Source organism: Homo sapiens, chromosome 8 (assembly GCF_000001405.40).
Source record: "Homo sapiens chromosome 8, GRCh38.p14 Primary Assembly".
Classification (NCBI taxonomy): domain Eukaryota; kingdom Metazoa; phylum Chordata; class Mammalia; order Primates; family Hominidae; genus Homo; species Homo sapiens.
Window position 1 is genome coordinate 70570738 of NC_000008.11, and position 17527 is coordinate 70588264.

General features: G+C 38.1%; 1 protein-coding gene across 4 annotated transcripts in view; it reads right to left on the bottom strand.

Moving 5' to 3' along the window:
- Nucleotides 1–2480: 2480 nt before the first annotated feature.
- Nucleotides 2481–17527, bottom strand: part of TRAM1 (translocation associated membrane protein 1) — a 35199-nt gene continuing 20152 nt past the window's right edge. For all 4 annotated transcript variants that reach the window (NM_001317804.2, NM_014294.6, XM_047421636.1 and 1 more), the window contains 5 exons: nt 16369–16439; nt 16158–16262; nt 12913–13056; nt 12427–12587; nt 2481–4268 (listed from right to left, as the gene is read on the bottom strand). In NM_001317804.2, coding sequence (NP_001304733.1) covers nt 4195–4268; nt 12427–12587; nt 12913–13056; nt 16158–16262; nt 16369–16439 — 555 coding nt within the window. In that variant the 3' untranslated portion in view covers nt 2481–4194. The remainder of the gene's footprint in view (nt 4269–12426; nt 12588–12912; nt 13057–16157; nt 16263–16368; nt 16440–17527) is intronic.

Sequence of the window (17527 nt, forward strand, 5' to 3'; positions counted from 1 at the left end):
TCACTCCTGCAAGAATGGCCATAATTAAAAAAAAAAAATAGATGTTGATGTGGATGTTGTGAAAGGGAACTTTTACACTGCTGGTGTGAATGTAAACTAGTACAACTACTATGGAAAACAGTATGGAGATTCCTTAATAAACTAAAACTACCATTTGATCTAGCAGTCCTACTACCGGGTATCTGCCCAGAGGAAAAGAAGTCATTATATGAAAAAGACACTTGCACACGCATGTTTATAGCAACACAATTTGCAATTACAAAAATATGGAACCAGCCTAAATGCCCATCAACCAACATGTTGATAAGGAAAATGTGGTATATTTATACCATGGAATACTACTCAGCCATAAAAAGGAATAAAATAATGGCATTTGCAACAAACTGGATGGAGCTTGAGACCATTTTTGTAAGTGAAGTAACTCAGGAATGGAAAACCAAGTATCGTATATCTTCACTTACAAGTGGGAACTAAGCTATGAGGATGCAAAGGCATAAGAATGACATAATGGATTTTGGGGACTCAGGGAAGGATAGTAGGGGAGTGAGGTATAAAAAACTACACATCGGGTACACTGTACACTGCTCACGTGGGAAGTGCACCAAAATTTCAGAAATCACCACCACATAACTTATCCATGTGACCCAAACCATCTGTTCCCTAAAATCTATTGAAAAAAAAAGTGTTAGTAATCACACTTGTAATCGCAGCACTTTGGGATACTGAGGCAGGAGCATCGCTCAAGGTGAGGAGTTTGACACTGGCTTGGGCAATATAGTAAGACCCCTGGCTCCCTGTGTATATATTTTAAAAAACAAAAGTAAGCATGGTACTTGCAAAACAAACAAACAAAAACACCAAGTACATATGAAACAGAATAGAGAGCCCATAAATGAACCCAGGTATACACATGGTCAATTGCTTTTCCACAAAGGTGCCAAGAATATACAATGGGAAAAGAATAGTCTCTTCAATAAATGGTGCTAGGAAAACTAGATACCCACATGCAGAATGAAATTGGACCTTCATCTTACCTATATGCAAAAATCAACTCAAAATAGATTAAGGACTTAAATGTAAGACCAGAAACTGTAACACTACTAAAGGAAACATAATGGAAAAACTGCCAATTGAAACCACAGTATGATGTCATCTTACACCTGTCACAATGGCTATCATAACAAAAACAAAAGATAACAAATGTTGGCAAGGATGTGGAGAAAAGGGAATCAGTATACACTGTTAAGAATGTAAATTAGTACAGCCATTAAGGAAAACTGAAGTTCTTCAAAAAACTAAAATAGAATTACCATATGATCCAGCAATCCCACTTCTGAGAATTCAACCCAAAGATTTGAAATCAGTGTGTCGAAGAGATTTGAAATCAGTGTGTCGAAGAGATGTTTGCAGCCCTGTGTTCACTGTAGCACTAAATTTACAATAACCAAGTTATGGAATCAACCTAATGTCTATCAGCAGATGAATGGCTAAAGAAAATGTGGAAAATGGGGTATATATACACAATGGAATACTATTCAGCCTTTAAAAAAGACATTCTGTCATTTGTGACAACATGGATGAAACTGAAGAACATTATGCTAAGTGAAGTAAATCAGACACAGAAAGACAAATATGGCACATACTTACTTATATATGGAATCTAAAACAAACTCACAGAATCAGAGTGTAGAATGACGGTTACAAAGGCTCAGGGCTGAGAGGAATGGGGAGATGATGGTCAAAGGGTGTAAAATATGGCAGAAGGAATTTTTTAGTTCTACTGCACAGCATGGTAAATATAGTTAATAACAGCATTATACATTTCAAAACTAAATTTCCATGTTCTCATCACAAAAAATGTTAAGTGTTTGAGGTGATGGATGTTAACTAGCTTAATTATTCCATTATACTCATAAATCATAACACCATTTTGTACCCCCACGTACAATTATAAATTGTCAATTTACAGTTAAAAAAAATGCAGGAGGCATTTTGTGGAGGGAAAGACTAAACCCCAGAGTAGCAAAGCAACTAATTCATGGTCCCCCCGGGTTTAAGACAGAGCCATGAGCCTTGTCCAGGTGTGGGTCCCTACAGGATTCCCATCATGCTTTGAAGCTCGACTTGAGCCCAGGTGATAATGGCAGGCTCTGCAGGATCTGGAAGCCAGTACAGACTTTCCTCAGCACATTTGAGAGCAGGATGTAGGGCTCATAATTTATAATCATACTTGTGTGTATATGTGCTTCTGTGTATATATTAGCCCTTGGTAATGACATGTCAAGGGCTTTTTTTTTTCTTTGCCTAAACACAGTGTATGCTGCAGAAAACAAAGTGCTATAGTAATTCAGTGAACAGAAAATTCTACAGGCAAATAAGGTGGGAAACACTGCATATTATATCCAACATTCTTGGTGCACCAGGAAACACGTTTGCATATTAAGGACTGAACGGTCCCATAATAAAGAGACACCTTTAGGTTAGTTTAATCCAGTGATTCCCAGATTTATTTGGTTATGACCATCTATCCCCCCAGTAGTCCTCACCAATATTCTGTGGAACAAATCTGTTTATTTGCAGAACACAATTTTGAAAAGGGTTATTCTGAATGTCTATGAAGTGTTTTAAATATGGTACATTTTAATGAGGTTATATACCAAAATAGCCTAAACACCAACAATGACAGAAACATCCAGGATACAACTTGTGAAAGTAAAAATTTTTATTTTGATTGATTTCTCAATGTATAGTTCAGTATAATGCCAGTTTTTAATGGCAAAAATTTGGTTCCACTGAAACTCCATAATGCTACAGAGAGCTACTACTTTTTCCAGGAAGTAGGTTAACAGCTAGAAAGAAAAAGGACAATTTCCTAGCAGCATGGCAACTTAAACTGCAGATCTAATAGGTCTGCAACTTTTACACTAAAAATGGCACAAACAGCTGGTGACACAAGTGAGAAATGGGGAACAAGATGTGAACACTGAAAAGAACAATATATATACTGTAAATATGATGAATAAACCAAATGTAGCTATAAGAATCTTAAAGGATGATTATAGAAAAGGGAACCAAATATTTTCCTCAAATGCTTTTTAGAGCCTTTCTGTAGAGATACAAATATATATATATATATTTATCCAAAAATATGTTTTATACAGATAAATGTTTCTCAATTAAAGATGGGACCAAAGCTATAGGTATAACATAAAGCACATTGTCTTTTGTAAGACTATTTATCCACCTGAATTTTCAATTTCTTTAAAGTTAGTGCATTAAATGTTTTCCAAATATAATTACCTGTCAGTCTTTTTATAGATATAAATCAAGTAGGCATTATGTTTTAAAAGTGTTTGCAGGTTAAACTTTTCTAAGATGCTGTGCATATTAAACTTATTATGAGCCCCATTAAGAATCATTATTAATAAACATATCAAAAAGGGCTATATGTCAGATTTTCCTGTTCATAGTAAATATTTTCTGATTTCCAGTTTACAAGTATTGAAAATGCACAAGAAAGATTTTACTTCACAAGTACTTTTAAGAATATACTTTGATTTAATATGTATGTTAGTAAAACTCCACGTGTTGTAACGATTATTATGTTTTTGTTTTTAAAATGGGGATGTAATACTAATAACCACTACCTATAAAATAAAGCACACAATTGTTCCGGTGATTTTACAAATCTTTTTTTCCAGGTGTAAAGTCTACAAAAATTCCAAAAAATTAGAGAACACTGAAAACATATTAAAGTTTGACATCCAACTTTATAGTATTTCCATGTTACCCTGAAAGATAACTTAAAAAATATGGCCTTCTTAGAACAGGCCACTCTGCTATTATAAAAAATTGGTGACAGCAAGAAATTGTATCACTGATATGTGGAATTTTTGTAAATAGTTTTCTCTCCAAATCATTAGAAAAATGTTCAAAAATAAAAACAAAATAAAATATGGTGGTGGTCCCTAAACTATTTTGAAGGCAGGTAGCTTAGTCTAAGCTAAAATATTTTTTTCATTCATAGCAATAATCCTCCCCTCAAATGCCCTTTAAAAAAATGCATGAAACCGTACAATAGCAAAAATCAAAGAGCACAGACTGTATTTTCAAGAACAGAAAAATCTCTAATGCTGAAAGATATAGTAGAAAGCAGATTTCTTTGGGGACATTAATCAATTAGTTTATAATTCATTATGAAGATTTCTCTTTTTTATTCCGGGGAGAGTCTGCTACATTTGAAGTTAATGTTCCATTCACACCATTTTCTGCAAAAAGAAAAGAATCCATGTTACTCTCTTTTATAAATAAATGCAAGTTATAATCTTTATATGTAAAGATACCTTCAGAAAAGAAAATGTAAAATCCAATTCACTCAGGTGAAATTTACTTACCAGTATTTAACCAATCACAAAACCTGGTAACATTTTTAACACAATGAACTGAAAGTAGCAAATTAAAAGAAAACTACTATTAAAAGCAGAAAAAAGTGACAGCACAGAAAACTATAAAGTCACAAGAATTTAAAAATAGTATTCAAGAGAAATACCTTCTGTAGAAATAAAGAAACTTTTCACATTTGACAGCGAAGTCCTTGGGGATATTTGTTTACAATATAGTAAAGTTGGTGTTTAGGATAATTTCTATGTGGAGGCGTGTATTATGGCCTTCTTTTTATTTATTTATGTTACTGTTGTTTTTTGAGACAGGGTCTCACTCTGTCACCAAGGCTGTGTAGTGGCACGATCATGGCTCAATGCAGTCTTGAACTCCCGGGGACCAGTGATGCTCCCGGGGACCTCAGCCTCCCAAATAGCTGGGACTACAGGCATGTGCCACCACACCTGGCTAATAGTAATGGCCTTCTTCAAGCTATGATGGAGTAGCGTATGTGTGACTGACTCTCTCTCCAAAAATACAAAAGTTGCATACAGAAATGGATGTTTGAGGCGGGGGCAATGGCTTGCACCTATAATCACAGCACAAGTGGAATCCCAGCACAGATATCATTGAACTGAATAATAATGAAAAAGACATATTGAAACCTGTGAAATACAGACTAAGCATGGTGGCTCACGCCTGTAATCCCAGCACTTTGGGAGGCTGAGGTGGGTGGATCACCTGAGGCCAGGAGTTCAAGACCAGCCTGGCCAACGTGGTGAAATGCCATCTCTACTAAAAATACAAAAATTAGCTGGTTGTGGTGGTGGGTGCCTGTAATCCTGACTACCTGGGAGGCAGGAGAATCACTTGAGCCCGGGAGGCAAAGGTTGCAGTGAGCTGAGATCGCGCCACTGCACTCCAGCGTGGGCAACAGAGCTAGACTCCATCTAAAAAAAAAAGAAAAAAAAAAAAAAACCACACAAAAAAAAACCCCAAAACAAAACAAAAAATCCTTGTGAAATACAGTTAAAGCAGTGTTGAAAGGAAAAGTTTACCATTAACTGAATGTAATTCACAAGAGATACAAATCAATGCTCCAAAGATCCATCTCAAGAAGGTAAATCACAAACAAAACCGCAAATTAAACCCAATGAAAAGGAAAGAATAGAAATCAATGATCCAGAAAAGAGACAACTAGGAAAATCAACACAAAAAGACAAATGTTGGTTTTGACTGATGGAAGGAAAGATAAAAGGCTTACGTTACTAACAACATGAAATGAAAAACAGGAATCACTCCTGATTTAGAGGTGTTAACAGGATAACGAAAGTCATATGAATAATTTTATGCCGATGTATTTGCAAATTTATATGAACTAGACAAATTCCTTGAAAAACATTATTTACCAAAAGAGAAACGACTAAGAAACAGAAAATGTGAACAATAGTATTATCTTTTTTTTCTTCTGAGACAGGGTCTCACTCTGTTATCCCGGCTGGAGTCCAGTGACATGATCTCCACTCACTGCAACCTCCACTTCTCAGTGATGGCAGCGGCAGCCCCTGTGGAGTGGCTACTGCCATGACATTGGCTGTAGTGTGAGAGGTGCATCCAGGGCTGTGTGCTCCACATAGCTAGCAGGAGCCCCATCCCTTTCAAAGTTGGAGTGGTGGGAGTCCCGCACTCCTGGGCACAGTGGCAGCCACCCAGCTGTAGTTCTTCGGTGTTCAGGAAGCCCTACTACCTCTGCAGGCTTGGAAGTGCCTGCTCCCACTGCCTGGCCACTCTGCTGCTCCTGGCGTCTGCTAGTTTTGGAGTGAAGGTGAGACTGACCCTGGGATTAGAGCAGCACTGATATGCCTGCTCAGGGAGCCCCTAGATCTGGGGGCTTTTCTCTCTTTCTTGTCATCCACAACGTGGCGAGCAGGGGGACATATTTCAGCCTTGTTTGTGCTATAGCCCTTTTAGTCCCGCCATTCAGCAGGTCCAAAGTTCCCAAGGCAGCTCCCTGCTCCCTTGGCCCTGTCAGGACTTTGGGTGCTGATGAGCACGAGAGGGAGGCCGAGGGGGGCTGAGGGCAGCTTGGTGTGGGTCTGTAGGCACCCCTTGGCATGACCAGCCTAGGCACCACGGATGGCAGGTTGATGGCAGCAGGAGGCAGACAGGTTCCTGGGCAGAAAGGGGTGGGCCCTGGTGAAGCCCCCCTCTTCAAGCCAGGGACAGCCTGAAACCTGGGGGCCAGGCCACCAGTTCCATGGACTGGAGTGAGAACTTACAGTGTTTTCTGGGCCCACCCATGGACCAATCAGCATGCACTTCCTCCCCCCTGAAGCTCATAAAAATCCTGGACTCAGCCAGACTTGGGCAGATGATGAGACTGTGGATAGGAGCTAACCACTTCAGGTCTCCTGAGAACTGTTCTGCCTCTCAATGAACCTCCTCTCTGCCTTGCTCACCCTCCAGTTGTCTGCATACCTCATTCTTCCTGGATGCAGGACAAGAACTTGGGACCTGCTGAATGGTGGGACTGAAAGGGCTATAGCACAAACAAGGCTGAAACATGCCCCTCTGCTCACCACGTTGTGGATGACAAGAAAGAGAGAAGAGCTGTGCTCCTCTGGGAAGCCCAGATCTAGGGGCTCCCTGAGCCAGGGCTATGACACCCTCTTTGGGGTTCAGTGGTTCCCACCATCTCCAAGCTCTGGAGATGCCACCACACTCCCCTTGTCCAGTCATGGGTCCCTGCAGCGGAAGCCGCATGCAGTACATCTGGTCCAGCTGCAGCCTCACACAGAGCCAGCACCTGCTGGTGCCTAGAGCTGCCTGCCCCGTGGCAGCAGCCTGTGTGTCTGGCTGTGCGCAGTGGCTAGACCTTGTGTGTGCTTGCCCACACACCCCCTGCTGCTCCACGTCTGGCTCATGCTTGACAGGTGTAGGATCTGGGCCGGTAGCTTAAGCCAAGCACAGCCTGTCAGGCCAAGTGGGTGGAATGAGCCCAGCGGATGCAAGCAATACTCAGGCAGAAGGTGCCACCAGCCAAAAAGGTTTCCAGCTGGTGAAGTGACACCCCAAGGGTGACATCAGGATCAAGGGATCCTCCCACCTCAGCCTCCCAAGTACTGGGACTACAGGCATGCACCACGATGCCTGGTTCATTTTTGTATTTTTTGTAAAGACAGAGTTTCGTCATGTTGCCCAGGCTGGTCTTGAACTCCTGGGCTCAAGTGATCCACCCATCTCAGCCTCCCAAAGTGCTGGGTGCCCAGCCAATTGGTTGAGACTGGTGGGCAGATCACTTGGGTAGAGGAGTTCAAGACTATCCTGGGTAACATGGTGAAATCCCATCTCTACAAAAAACACAAAAAGTAGTGGCATGGTGACATGTGCTTGTAGCCCCAGCTACTCAGGAGGCTGAGGTGGGAGGACTGCTTGAGCCCACAAGGTTGAGGCTGCAGTGAGCCAAGATCGTGCCACTGCACTCCAGCCTGGGCGACAGAGCAAGACCCTGTTTCGAAAAAAAAGAAGACTCTAGGTCAGAGGGCTTAGTTGGTGAACACTTCCAAACACTTAAATAATAAATAATGCTGATATTACACAAAGGACAAATCTGCCCAACACTTTCTTTACAGCCAGCACAACCTTGAGGTCAAAATCTGACATATTACAAAAAAGGGCTAATACAGGCTGATCTATTATTACATGAACAAAGATGCAAAAATCCTAATGAAATACTGAAAAAGGGAATTCAGCGAAAGTGATGTACAATGGTCTCCCCTTATTTGCAGTGTTGCTTTCCACGGTTTCAGTTACCCACAGTCAACCATGGTCTGAAAATAGATGAGTACTGTATAATATTTTGAGAGAGAAAAATACCACATTCAATTAACTTTTGCTACAATATGCTGTTATATGTGACCAATTTATAAATAAAACTTTATCATAGCTAATTAGGAGAAAACATAGTATATACAGTCATGCATCACTTAACAGGCTATGTTTTAAGAAATGTGTTAGGCGATTTCATCATTGTATGAACATCACAGAATGTACTTCCACAAATCTAGATGGTAGAGCCTACCACACACCCAGGCTATATGGTATAGCCTATTGCTCCTAGGCTAAAAATCTGCATGGCATGTTACTGTATGGAATACTTTAGGCAACTGTAATACAGTGGTAACTATTTATGTATCTAAACATATCTAAACATAGAAATGGTATTGGAGAAATAAAGCATTATCTTATAGGACCAGTGTCATAAATGAGTCATGTATACACATATGTTGTACAGCTGTTGACTGAAATGTCATTATTTAGCACGTAACTATATAGTTTGAAACTACCCCTGGTTTCAGGCATCCATTGGGGGTTTTGGAATGTATTCCCCCAGGGAGACAACTGTATTATCACCAACTTGGATGCATGTCAGAAATGCAGAATTATTTTAACATTGATAGTCAATGTAGTCAATGCAATTCACAACATTAATAGAGTAAAGAAAAACTCTATGACTAACTAAATCTTGCAGAAAAAGCATTTCTTAACATTCCACAAGTCATGGACAAAAACTCTTAGTAAATGATGTACAGAAGAGAACTGAATAAAGGGCATCTACAGACCATTCTTAATAATGAAATACCGAAAGGTCTCCCTCTTATATGAGGAACAAGAGTATTCATTTCTTATATTGAATATTATGGTTTAGTCCTAGCTAGTGTAATACAGGAAGAAAATGAAAAGGTATAATATTTATAGACGCTGTAACTGTATATTTTAGTGTAAACTTTAGAATAAGTGAATTAGGAAGACTTTTTTCAGTACCTGGATAGTATCTTAAAGAAAACAAATGGCACTACTACGTAACAAATAGTTAAAACTGTTTTTTAAAAAGAGCATGTACATTAGCTTAAAAAAGAAAATACCTGAGAATAAATTTAATGAAAAATGTATGAGATCCCTATACAGAAACCTATAAAATATCTCCTTCAACAACTCTTCCATTGCTTCTTGGCATTTTGGCTAAGATCAAGTGAAGAACTCTTCCAAAAAACAGAAAAGGAAAAAACACTCCCCAGTTCATTCTATGAAGCCAGTATTATCTTGATACTAAAACCAGACAACGATGTTGCAAGAAAAATATACTCCAATTATCCTTTATGAATACAGACACAAAAAAACCTGAACAAAATACTTGCATACCAAAATCCATCAAGAGATAAAAAGGATCATACACCATAACCAAGTGAAATTTATCCCAGGAATGCAACGTTGGTTTAACATCTGAAAATCAATCTAATCTATAATACCAACAGAAAAAAATGACAAAACCCCACAAGGTTATCTCAATAGATGCAGGAAAAAAAGCAATTGACAAAATCTAACAACCTTCCATGATAAAAACAAACTAGGAATCAGAGGGGAACTTCCTCAACCTGATAAAGGTCATTTATGAAAAACCCATAGCTAACATCATACTTAATGGTAAAAGACTGGATGGATGCCTACCCCTAAGATCAAAAACAAGACAAGGATGTCTGCTCTCACCATTTCTATTCAACACCTGTTGTGGAGGTTCTGGGCAGGGCAATTTGGCAAGAAAATGCAATAGAAAGCATCCAGATTGCCCACCAAAAAAAAAAAAACCTATTTGAATAAATAAATTCAGCAAGGTTGCAGGATACAAGATCAATATACAAAAGTGAATTGTATTTCATATACAATGGCAATGAAGAATCTGAAAATGGAATTAAGAAGATGGTTCTATTTTACAACAGCATCAAAAAGAATAAAATAGGATTAAATTTAATGAACTGCAAGATGTATACACTGATAAATATAATTGAAAGAGATTAAAAGATCTAAATAAACAGACATTCATGTTCATACTCTGCAAAGCAACCTACAAATTGAAGATAATCCATACCAAAACCCCAGCTGGCTTTTTTGCAGAAACTGACAAGCTCATTATAGAATTCATATTAAAATGGCTGGGCAAGGCAGCATATGCCTGTAGTCCCAGCTACCTGGGAGGCTGATGGGAGAATCCCTTGAGCCTACAAGTTCAAGTCTAGCCTGGGCAACATAGCAAGATCCCGTCACTTAAATAAAAACTCATATGGAAATGTAAGAAACCCAGAATAACCAAAACATAAAATAGAACAACAACAATGGGGACTCACATTACCTGCTTTCAAAACTTACTACAAAGCTACAGTAATCAAGATAGTGTGGTTCTGGCATAAGAATCGACATACGAATAAATGAAATAGAATTCATGATCCAGAAATAAACTTTTCTTAAAAATGATTTTTGAAAAGGGTATCAAGACAGTTCAAGTGAAGGAGTCTTTTTAACAAATGGCACAGGGACAACTGAGTATCAAGATGCTAAACTGAGTGTAAAATAGTATAACCACTTCAAAGAACAGTTTGGCAGTTCCCTCAAAATGTTAAACATAGTTACCGCATGACTCGGAAATCCCACTCCTATGTATGTACCCTAGAGAATGAAAACACATGTTTGAACAAAAACTTGCACCTAAATGTTCACAGCATCACGATTCATAATAGCCAAAAAGTAAAAGGCACTCAATATCCATCAAATGATGAATGGATAAACAAAATATGGTATACATCCATCCAAAAGGTTCCATACAATGGAATATTAATTGGCTGTAAAAATAAATGAAGTCTTTCTATATGCTATGACATGGATGAACCTCAAAGCATTATCCATTTGCAAAACCACATATCACATGGTTCTGTTTACATGAAATGTCCAGAAAAGGCCAATCCTTAGAGACAGAAAATAGATTAGAGGGTGCCGGAGCAGAATGAAGGGGGCAAAGTGAAGTGATGCTAAGGGGCATGGGGTTTCTTTTTGCAGTGATAGAAATATTCTGGAATTAGATAGTGGTTTGCACGATTTTGTGAACATACATTAAAAATGACTGAAATGTATACTTTAAAGGGTAAACTTTATGTGAATTACATCCCATTAAAGCTATTAAAAATATTACTTGGAGAAATTAAAGACAACCTAAATAAACAGAGGTATATATCATGTTAATGGGTTGAAATAGTCAATTATCCCTAAATCGATCTACAGATTTGATGTTATTTCAACTTAATATCCCAGCAACTTTTGTGGAAATTGACCAGGTTGTATAATTTTTTTTTTTTTTTTCTAAAGAGGCATATGTTGCCCAGGCTGGAGTGTAGTAGGGCTTCACAGGCATGATCATTGTGCACTGTAACCTTGAACTCCTGGGTTCAAGTGATCCTCCTGCCTCAGCCTCCTGAATAGCTGGACTACAGGCACCCCCCACTGCACCTAGATCAAGTTGTACTAAAATGTATTAAGAAAATGCAAAGGGCCAAGACTTGCTGGGACAAACTTGAAAAAAAAAAAAAAAGGCAGGGCTGGAGGATGTAAATTATCAGGTATTAATACTTACAAAGGAGTAAACCAGAGTGGACATACTCTAAAAACTTCCTGTGTTATAGTTCTAAGCCTAATACCACATACACACTGAAAAAATTAACTGTAATATCGATGCATTTTCAATTTTTGCAAAAACCATAAGGAAAAAAGAGGTTAAATGAAGGCTTTAAAGACAAAGAATCAAGCAATCAGAAGTTATAAAAAAAAAGCTATTCCACTTGGGACAAATGGGCAGATGGGAAGAGGTTGTGAAGAGCTTTTTAAAATGTGAATAAGATGCTTGAAAACAAACTACCATCCTCAGGTTTAGTTTAAACCTGCCCATAAAGTTTGGTCTAAAGTAGCTCAAGGTAACCAAGCATGGAAAACTTGTTAAAGAGAAATGTGATGGACAGCTTTTGAGGGGAGTAACTGAGTTTCCTCACCCAAGGGATCACCCAATTGTGGAATGCAGTAAGATTACTTTGCCTCTAATTTTGTTGAAAAGCAGAATAGTATTTTCTTTATAAGACACCTTAAAACTAATAAATAAGATCCAACAACAAATTTTTTAAAAGTTTTCTACTTCCATGAGTTTTTCATTGCTTACTGAATACAAACCTGTTCCTTTTTTAGAAGATCTGCCTTTAGTTACTGTTGGTTTCTTCTTCACAGCTGGTGCCTGAAAAGCAGAATGTTCCCTCCACCTTCGAAGCTGAAAATTAATGAACTTCCACATCATAAATGCCTGAGTAACGCAAATGGATGCCAGAACAGCGATTCTAAGAAATATTAAGACATAAAAAGTTAGTGTATAAAAAACAATGCCACTGAATACATTCTATCATCTTTCATAGTATTTAGTAATAATTCCCACTCAGTTGAGAAAATTGTATTAATAATCATTGCATTAATAATTTATCCTAAAAGTTAAATGCTTTAGTACTTCACTTTAGACATGTAAAATAGCAACGGGTATGAAATAAAATCAAATGAGTATTTTCCCCAACCTCATATTCATCCTTTTTTAGATGATTCAATGTAGAGAAACTGATAATATATATTATCTAGCTGTATAAAGTGAAAAAAATGTTAAATTGATCGTACCTAACAGCTAACACATTGAAGTTTCCAGTACTGAAATCCAGCTTCTGATTTTCTGCTCTTGCAAGGCCAAAACCAACAGTCAGTACTGAAAGAATTAAAGTCAGAAGTCTTCCCAAAACAAAAAGAACTGCCCACAGAGAAAATCTGCAAGAAAAAGGCCGTAAGTCAAATTCCTGAAATCTCAAAAACAAGATTCTATTAGAAATTAGATTCCTAAGTTGGGCGTGGTGGCAGACGCCTGTAATCCCAGCTACTTGGGAGGCTGAGGCAGGAGAATTGCTTGAAACCAGAAGGTGGAGGTCACAGTGAGCAGAGATTGCGCCACTGCACTCCAGCCTGGGCAACAAGAGCGAAACTCCATCTCAAAAAAATAAATAAATAAATAAAGAAGAAACTAGATTCCTATTAAGTAAAAGCCTATTAAAATAGCATTTCTTATTCTGCAAAAAAGAATTTTGAGTCAAATATCTGGGAAAGGCTATATATCACACTCAGAGAGATATAACACATATTAGCCTATTTAAATTTCTAAAACAATCCAGGAAATAAATGTTTAATTTTCTGTTTAGCTTATCTCTTTTCTTGTATAAGAACTATTAATATTCCTCAGAACTACTAGTATTCAGAATAATTTTGGAAAATGCTGGACAAAACAAACCAAAAAAGCTGTGTTATAAAGAACAGGATGCCCAATTCTCATTTAAGAGTCCCAGTTTTTGGCACAAGACAGGGATGGCCTCTCTCACCACTCCTATTCAACACAGTGTTGGAAGTTCTGGCCAGGGCAATTAGGCAGGAGAAGGAAATAAAGGGTATTCAATTAGGAAAAGTGGAAGTCTAATTGTCCCTGTTTGCCGATGACATGATTGTATAACTAGAAAACCCCACTGTCTCAGCCCAAAATCTCCTTAAGCTGATAAGCAACTTCAGCAAAGTCTCAGGATACAAAATCGATGTACAAAAATCACAAGCATTCTTATACACCAATAACAGACAGAGAGCCAAATCATGAGTGAACTCCCATTCATAATTGCTTCAAAGAGAATAAAATACCTAGGAATCCAACTTACAAGGGATGTGAAGGACCTCTTCAAGGAGAACTACAAACCACTGCTCAATGAAATAAAAGAGGATACAAACAAATGGAAGAACATTCCATGCTCATGAGTAGGAAGAATCAATATCATGAAAATGGTCATACTGCCCAAGGTAATTTATAGATTCAATGCCATCCCCATCAAGCTACCAATGACTTTCTTCACAGAATTGGAAAAAACTACTTTAAAGTTCATATGGAACCAAAAAAGAGCTCGCATCACCAAGTCAATCCTAAGCCAAAAGAACAAAGCTGGAGGCATCATGCTACCTGACTTCAAACTATACTACAAGGCCACAGTAACCAAAACAGCATGGTACTGGTACCAAAACAGAGATATAGATCAATGGAACAGAACAGAGCCCTCAGAAATAATGCTGCATATCTACAACCATCTGATCTTTGACAAACCTGACAAAAGCAATGGGGAAAGGATTCCCTATTTAATAAATGGTGCTGGGAAAACTGGCTAGCCATATGTAGAAAGCTGAAACTGGATCCCTTCCTTACACCTTATACAAAAATTAATTCAAGATGGATTAAAGACTTACATGTTAGACCTAAAAACATAAAAACCCTAGAAGAAAACCTAGGCAATACCATTCAGGACATAGGCATGGGCAAGGACTTCATGTCTAAAACACCAAAAGCAATGGCAACAAAAGCCAAAATAGACAAATGGGATCTAATTAAACTAAAGAGCTCTGCACAGCAAAAGAAACTACCATCAGAGTGAACAGGCAACCTACAAAATGGGAGAAAATTTTCACAACCTACTCATCTGACAAAGGGCTAATATCCAGAATCTACAATGAACTCAAACAAATTTACAAGAAAAAAACAACCCCATCAACAAGTGGGCAAAGGATATGAACAGACACTTCTCAAAAGAAGATATTTATGCAGCCAAAAAACACATGAAAAAATGCTCATCATCACTGGCCATCAGAGAAATGCAAATCAAAACCACAATGAGATACCATCTCACACCAGTTAGGAATGGTGATCATTAAAAAGTCAGGAAACAACAGGTGCTGGAGAGGATGTGGAGAAATAGGAACACTTTTACACTGTTGCTGGGACTGTAAACTAGTTCAACCATTGTGGAAGTCAGTGTGGTGATTCCTCAGGGATCTAGAACTAGAAATACCATTTGACCCAGCCATCCCATTACTGGGTGTATACCCAAAGGATTATAAATCATGCTGCTATAAAGACACATGCACACGTATGTTTATTGCGGCACTATTCACAATAGCAAAGACTTGGAACCAACTCAAATGTCCAACAATGATAGACTGGATTAAGAAAATGTGGCACATATACACCATGGAATACTATGCAGCCATAAAAAATGAAGAGTTCATGTCCTTTGCAGGGACATGGATGAAACTGGAAACCATCATTCTCAGCAAACTATCGCAAAGACAAAAAACCAAACACTGCATGTTCTCACTCATAGGTGGGAACTGAACAATGAGAACACATCGACACAGGAGGAGGAACATCACACTCTGGGGACTGTTGTGGGGTGGGGGAGGGGGGAGGGATAGCATTAGGAGATATACCTAATGCTAAATGACGAGTTAATGGGTGCAGCACACCAACATGGCACTTGTATACATATGTAACAAACCTGCACATTGTGCACATGTACCCTAAAACTTAAAGTATAATAATAATAAAATAATAAAAAAAGAGTCCCAGTTTTACTTTTTTTAAGACAACTTTGCACTCTTTACAAGTTACACCTCTCCAATTCTGTTTTCAGTTCAATTTCACCATCAATATATTTTAGTTATCTATAAGGCTAATTATCTATTGTTTCACTTTCTTCTGAGAGTTCACTTCTCTATCACTCCTCCAAAAGAAAAACCATGCAACAAACAAAGTAAAAGTTATAACAGAAAAGTAAACCCAAGAAGCCTTCAAAATTGCAAGATACAATACAGTATCTCTCTAGCTGAGAAAGCCTCCATTTTAGAGAGTAAAATACAAAGTCTGAATTGCTAAATAATTTCGTTTTATTTAAAGCGGCTACTGATCGCTTAAAAAGTTAATATAATGGCCTAAAGCATGGATCTTGGCAATGTTAGGCACTGACTTTAAATACCTAGTACACGAGAAATAGAATGGCTAAACAACTTACCCTTTCTGATACTTTTCATTGCTAAAATAAAACAGGCGGGAAATGTGGAAAAGAAATTCAACAAAATAATGTAGCACCAGAAGAACAAGTCCTAGATGATTCAAGCTGTTAAAAGAGCAAATTAAAAATGGGAATATTAATTATCAATTAAGACAGGTCAGCATACTATCTGCCCAGCCTACTTACACACCCATGAAATATCCCAACTCACTTCAAAAGGTAAGCTCCAGCAATGTGGAAGAGGTAAAGACCAATGTAGACAAGCTGACGAGGAATATCTTCCTGTAAAAAAATACATTATAGATTAAAACATGCTAAAACATTTCCTTTCCCTTTTTTTAAGAGGTGTGGTCTTGCTATGTTGCCCAGGTTGGTCTCAAAACCTTGGACTCAAGAGAACCCCCAACCTTGGCCTTCCAAAGGGTTAGGATTTCAGGCGTGACCCACTGTGCTTGGCTCATTTCTGTTCTTTAAGAGTAAGTGAAAAATGTAGAAGTAGGAGATCTGAAAGCTATTCTGCTCCCACCCCACCGCAATCTCTCATCCTCAATTAGGTATATAGCATTAGCAAGTCACTTAACCTCTGCTGGCTTCAGTTATTTCATCCATAAAATGTGAATACTTAGATTTGCTTCAATCAGATAAACTCAAAATCCCTTTTAGAGCTAAGATCTATGGCTCTTTTTTCTAATGTGTATTAAATGACACAATATTAATCATAGTTACATGCTGACAATTTGATGTTCCTCTAATATTAAAATTGTTATGTTCATAGTAGTAGAGACACTTCTGTTTACCTAAAATAGGATTCACATTTTCAGCTCATGCTTTAGTCCCTTGTCAGTCATTACAACAAGTTTAACATTTTGTATTCTCATTTATACTATTCCTTAATTGTATATTCTTTTTCCTCAATTACTTTGCAAGCCCAAGTACCTAGATTTTATTTTTACTTCTTTTTTTCTCCCACAGTTATCTAGTTGAGCTGGTTATCTCAGAAACAGTATTTTTAGAAAACACAAGTCAAGACCCACTAGTGGGGCCAGGTGTGATGGTTCATGCCTATAATCCCAGCACTCTGGGAGGCCGAGGTGGGAGGATCATTTGAGGCCAGGAGTTCGAGATCAACCTGGGCAACACAGCAAGACCCTGTCTCTACAAAAACTACAATTAGCTAGGCGTGGTGGTATGCAACTGTAGTCCCAGCTACTCAGGAGGCAGACACAGGAGGAGCATCACTTGAACACAAGAGTTCGAGGTTACAGTAAGCTATGATCATGCCACTGTACTCCAGCTTGGGTGACAGAGCAAGACTCTGTCTTTTAAAAAAAAGACCTACTAGTGGATCATGAAATCAATTTAGGGGTCAC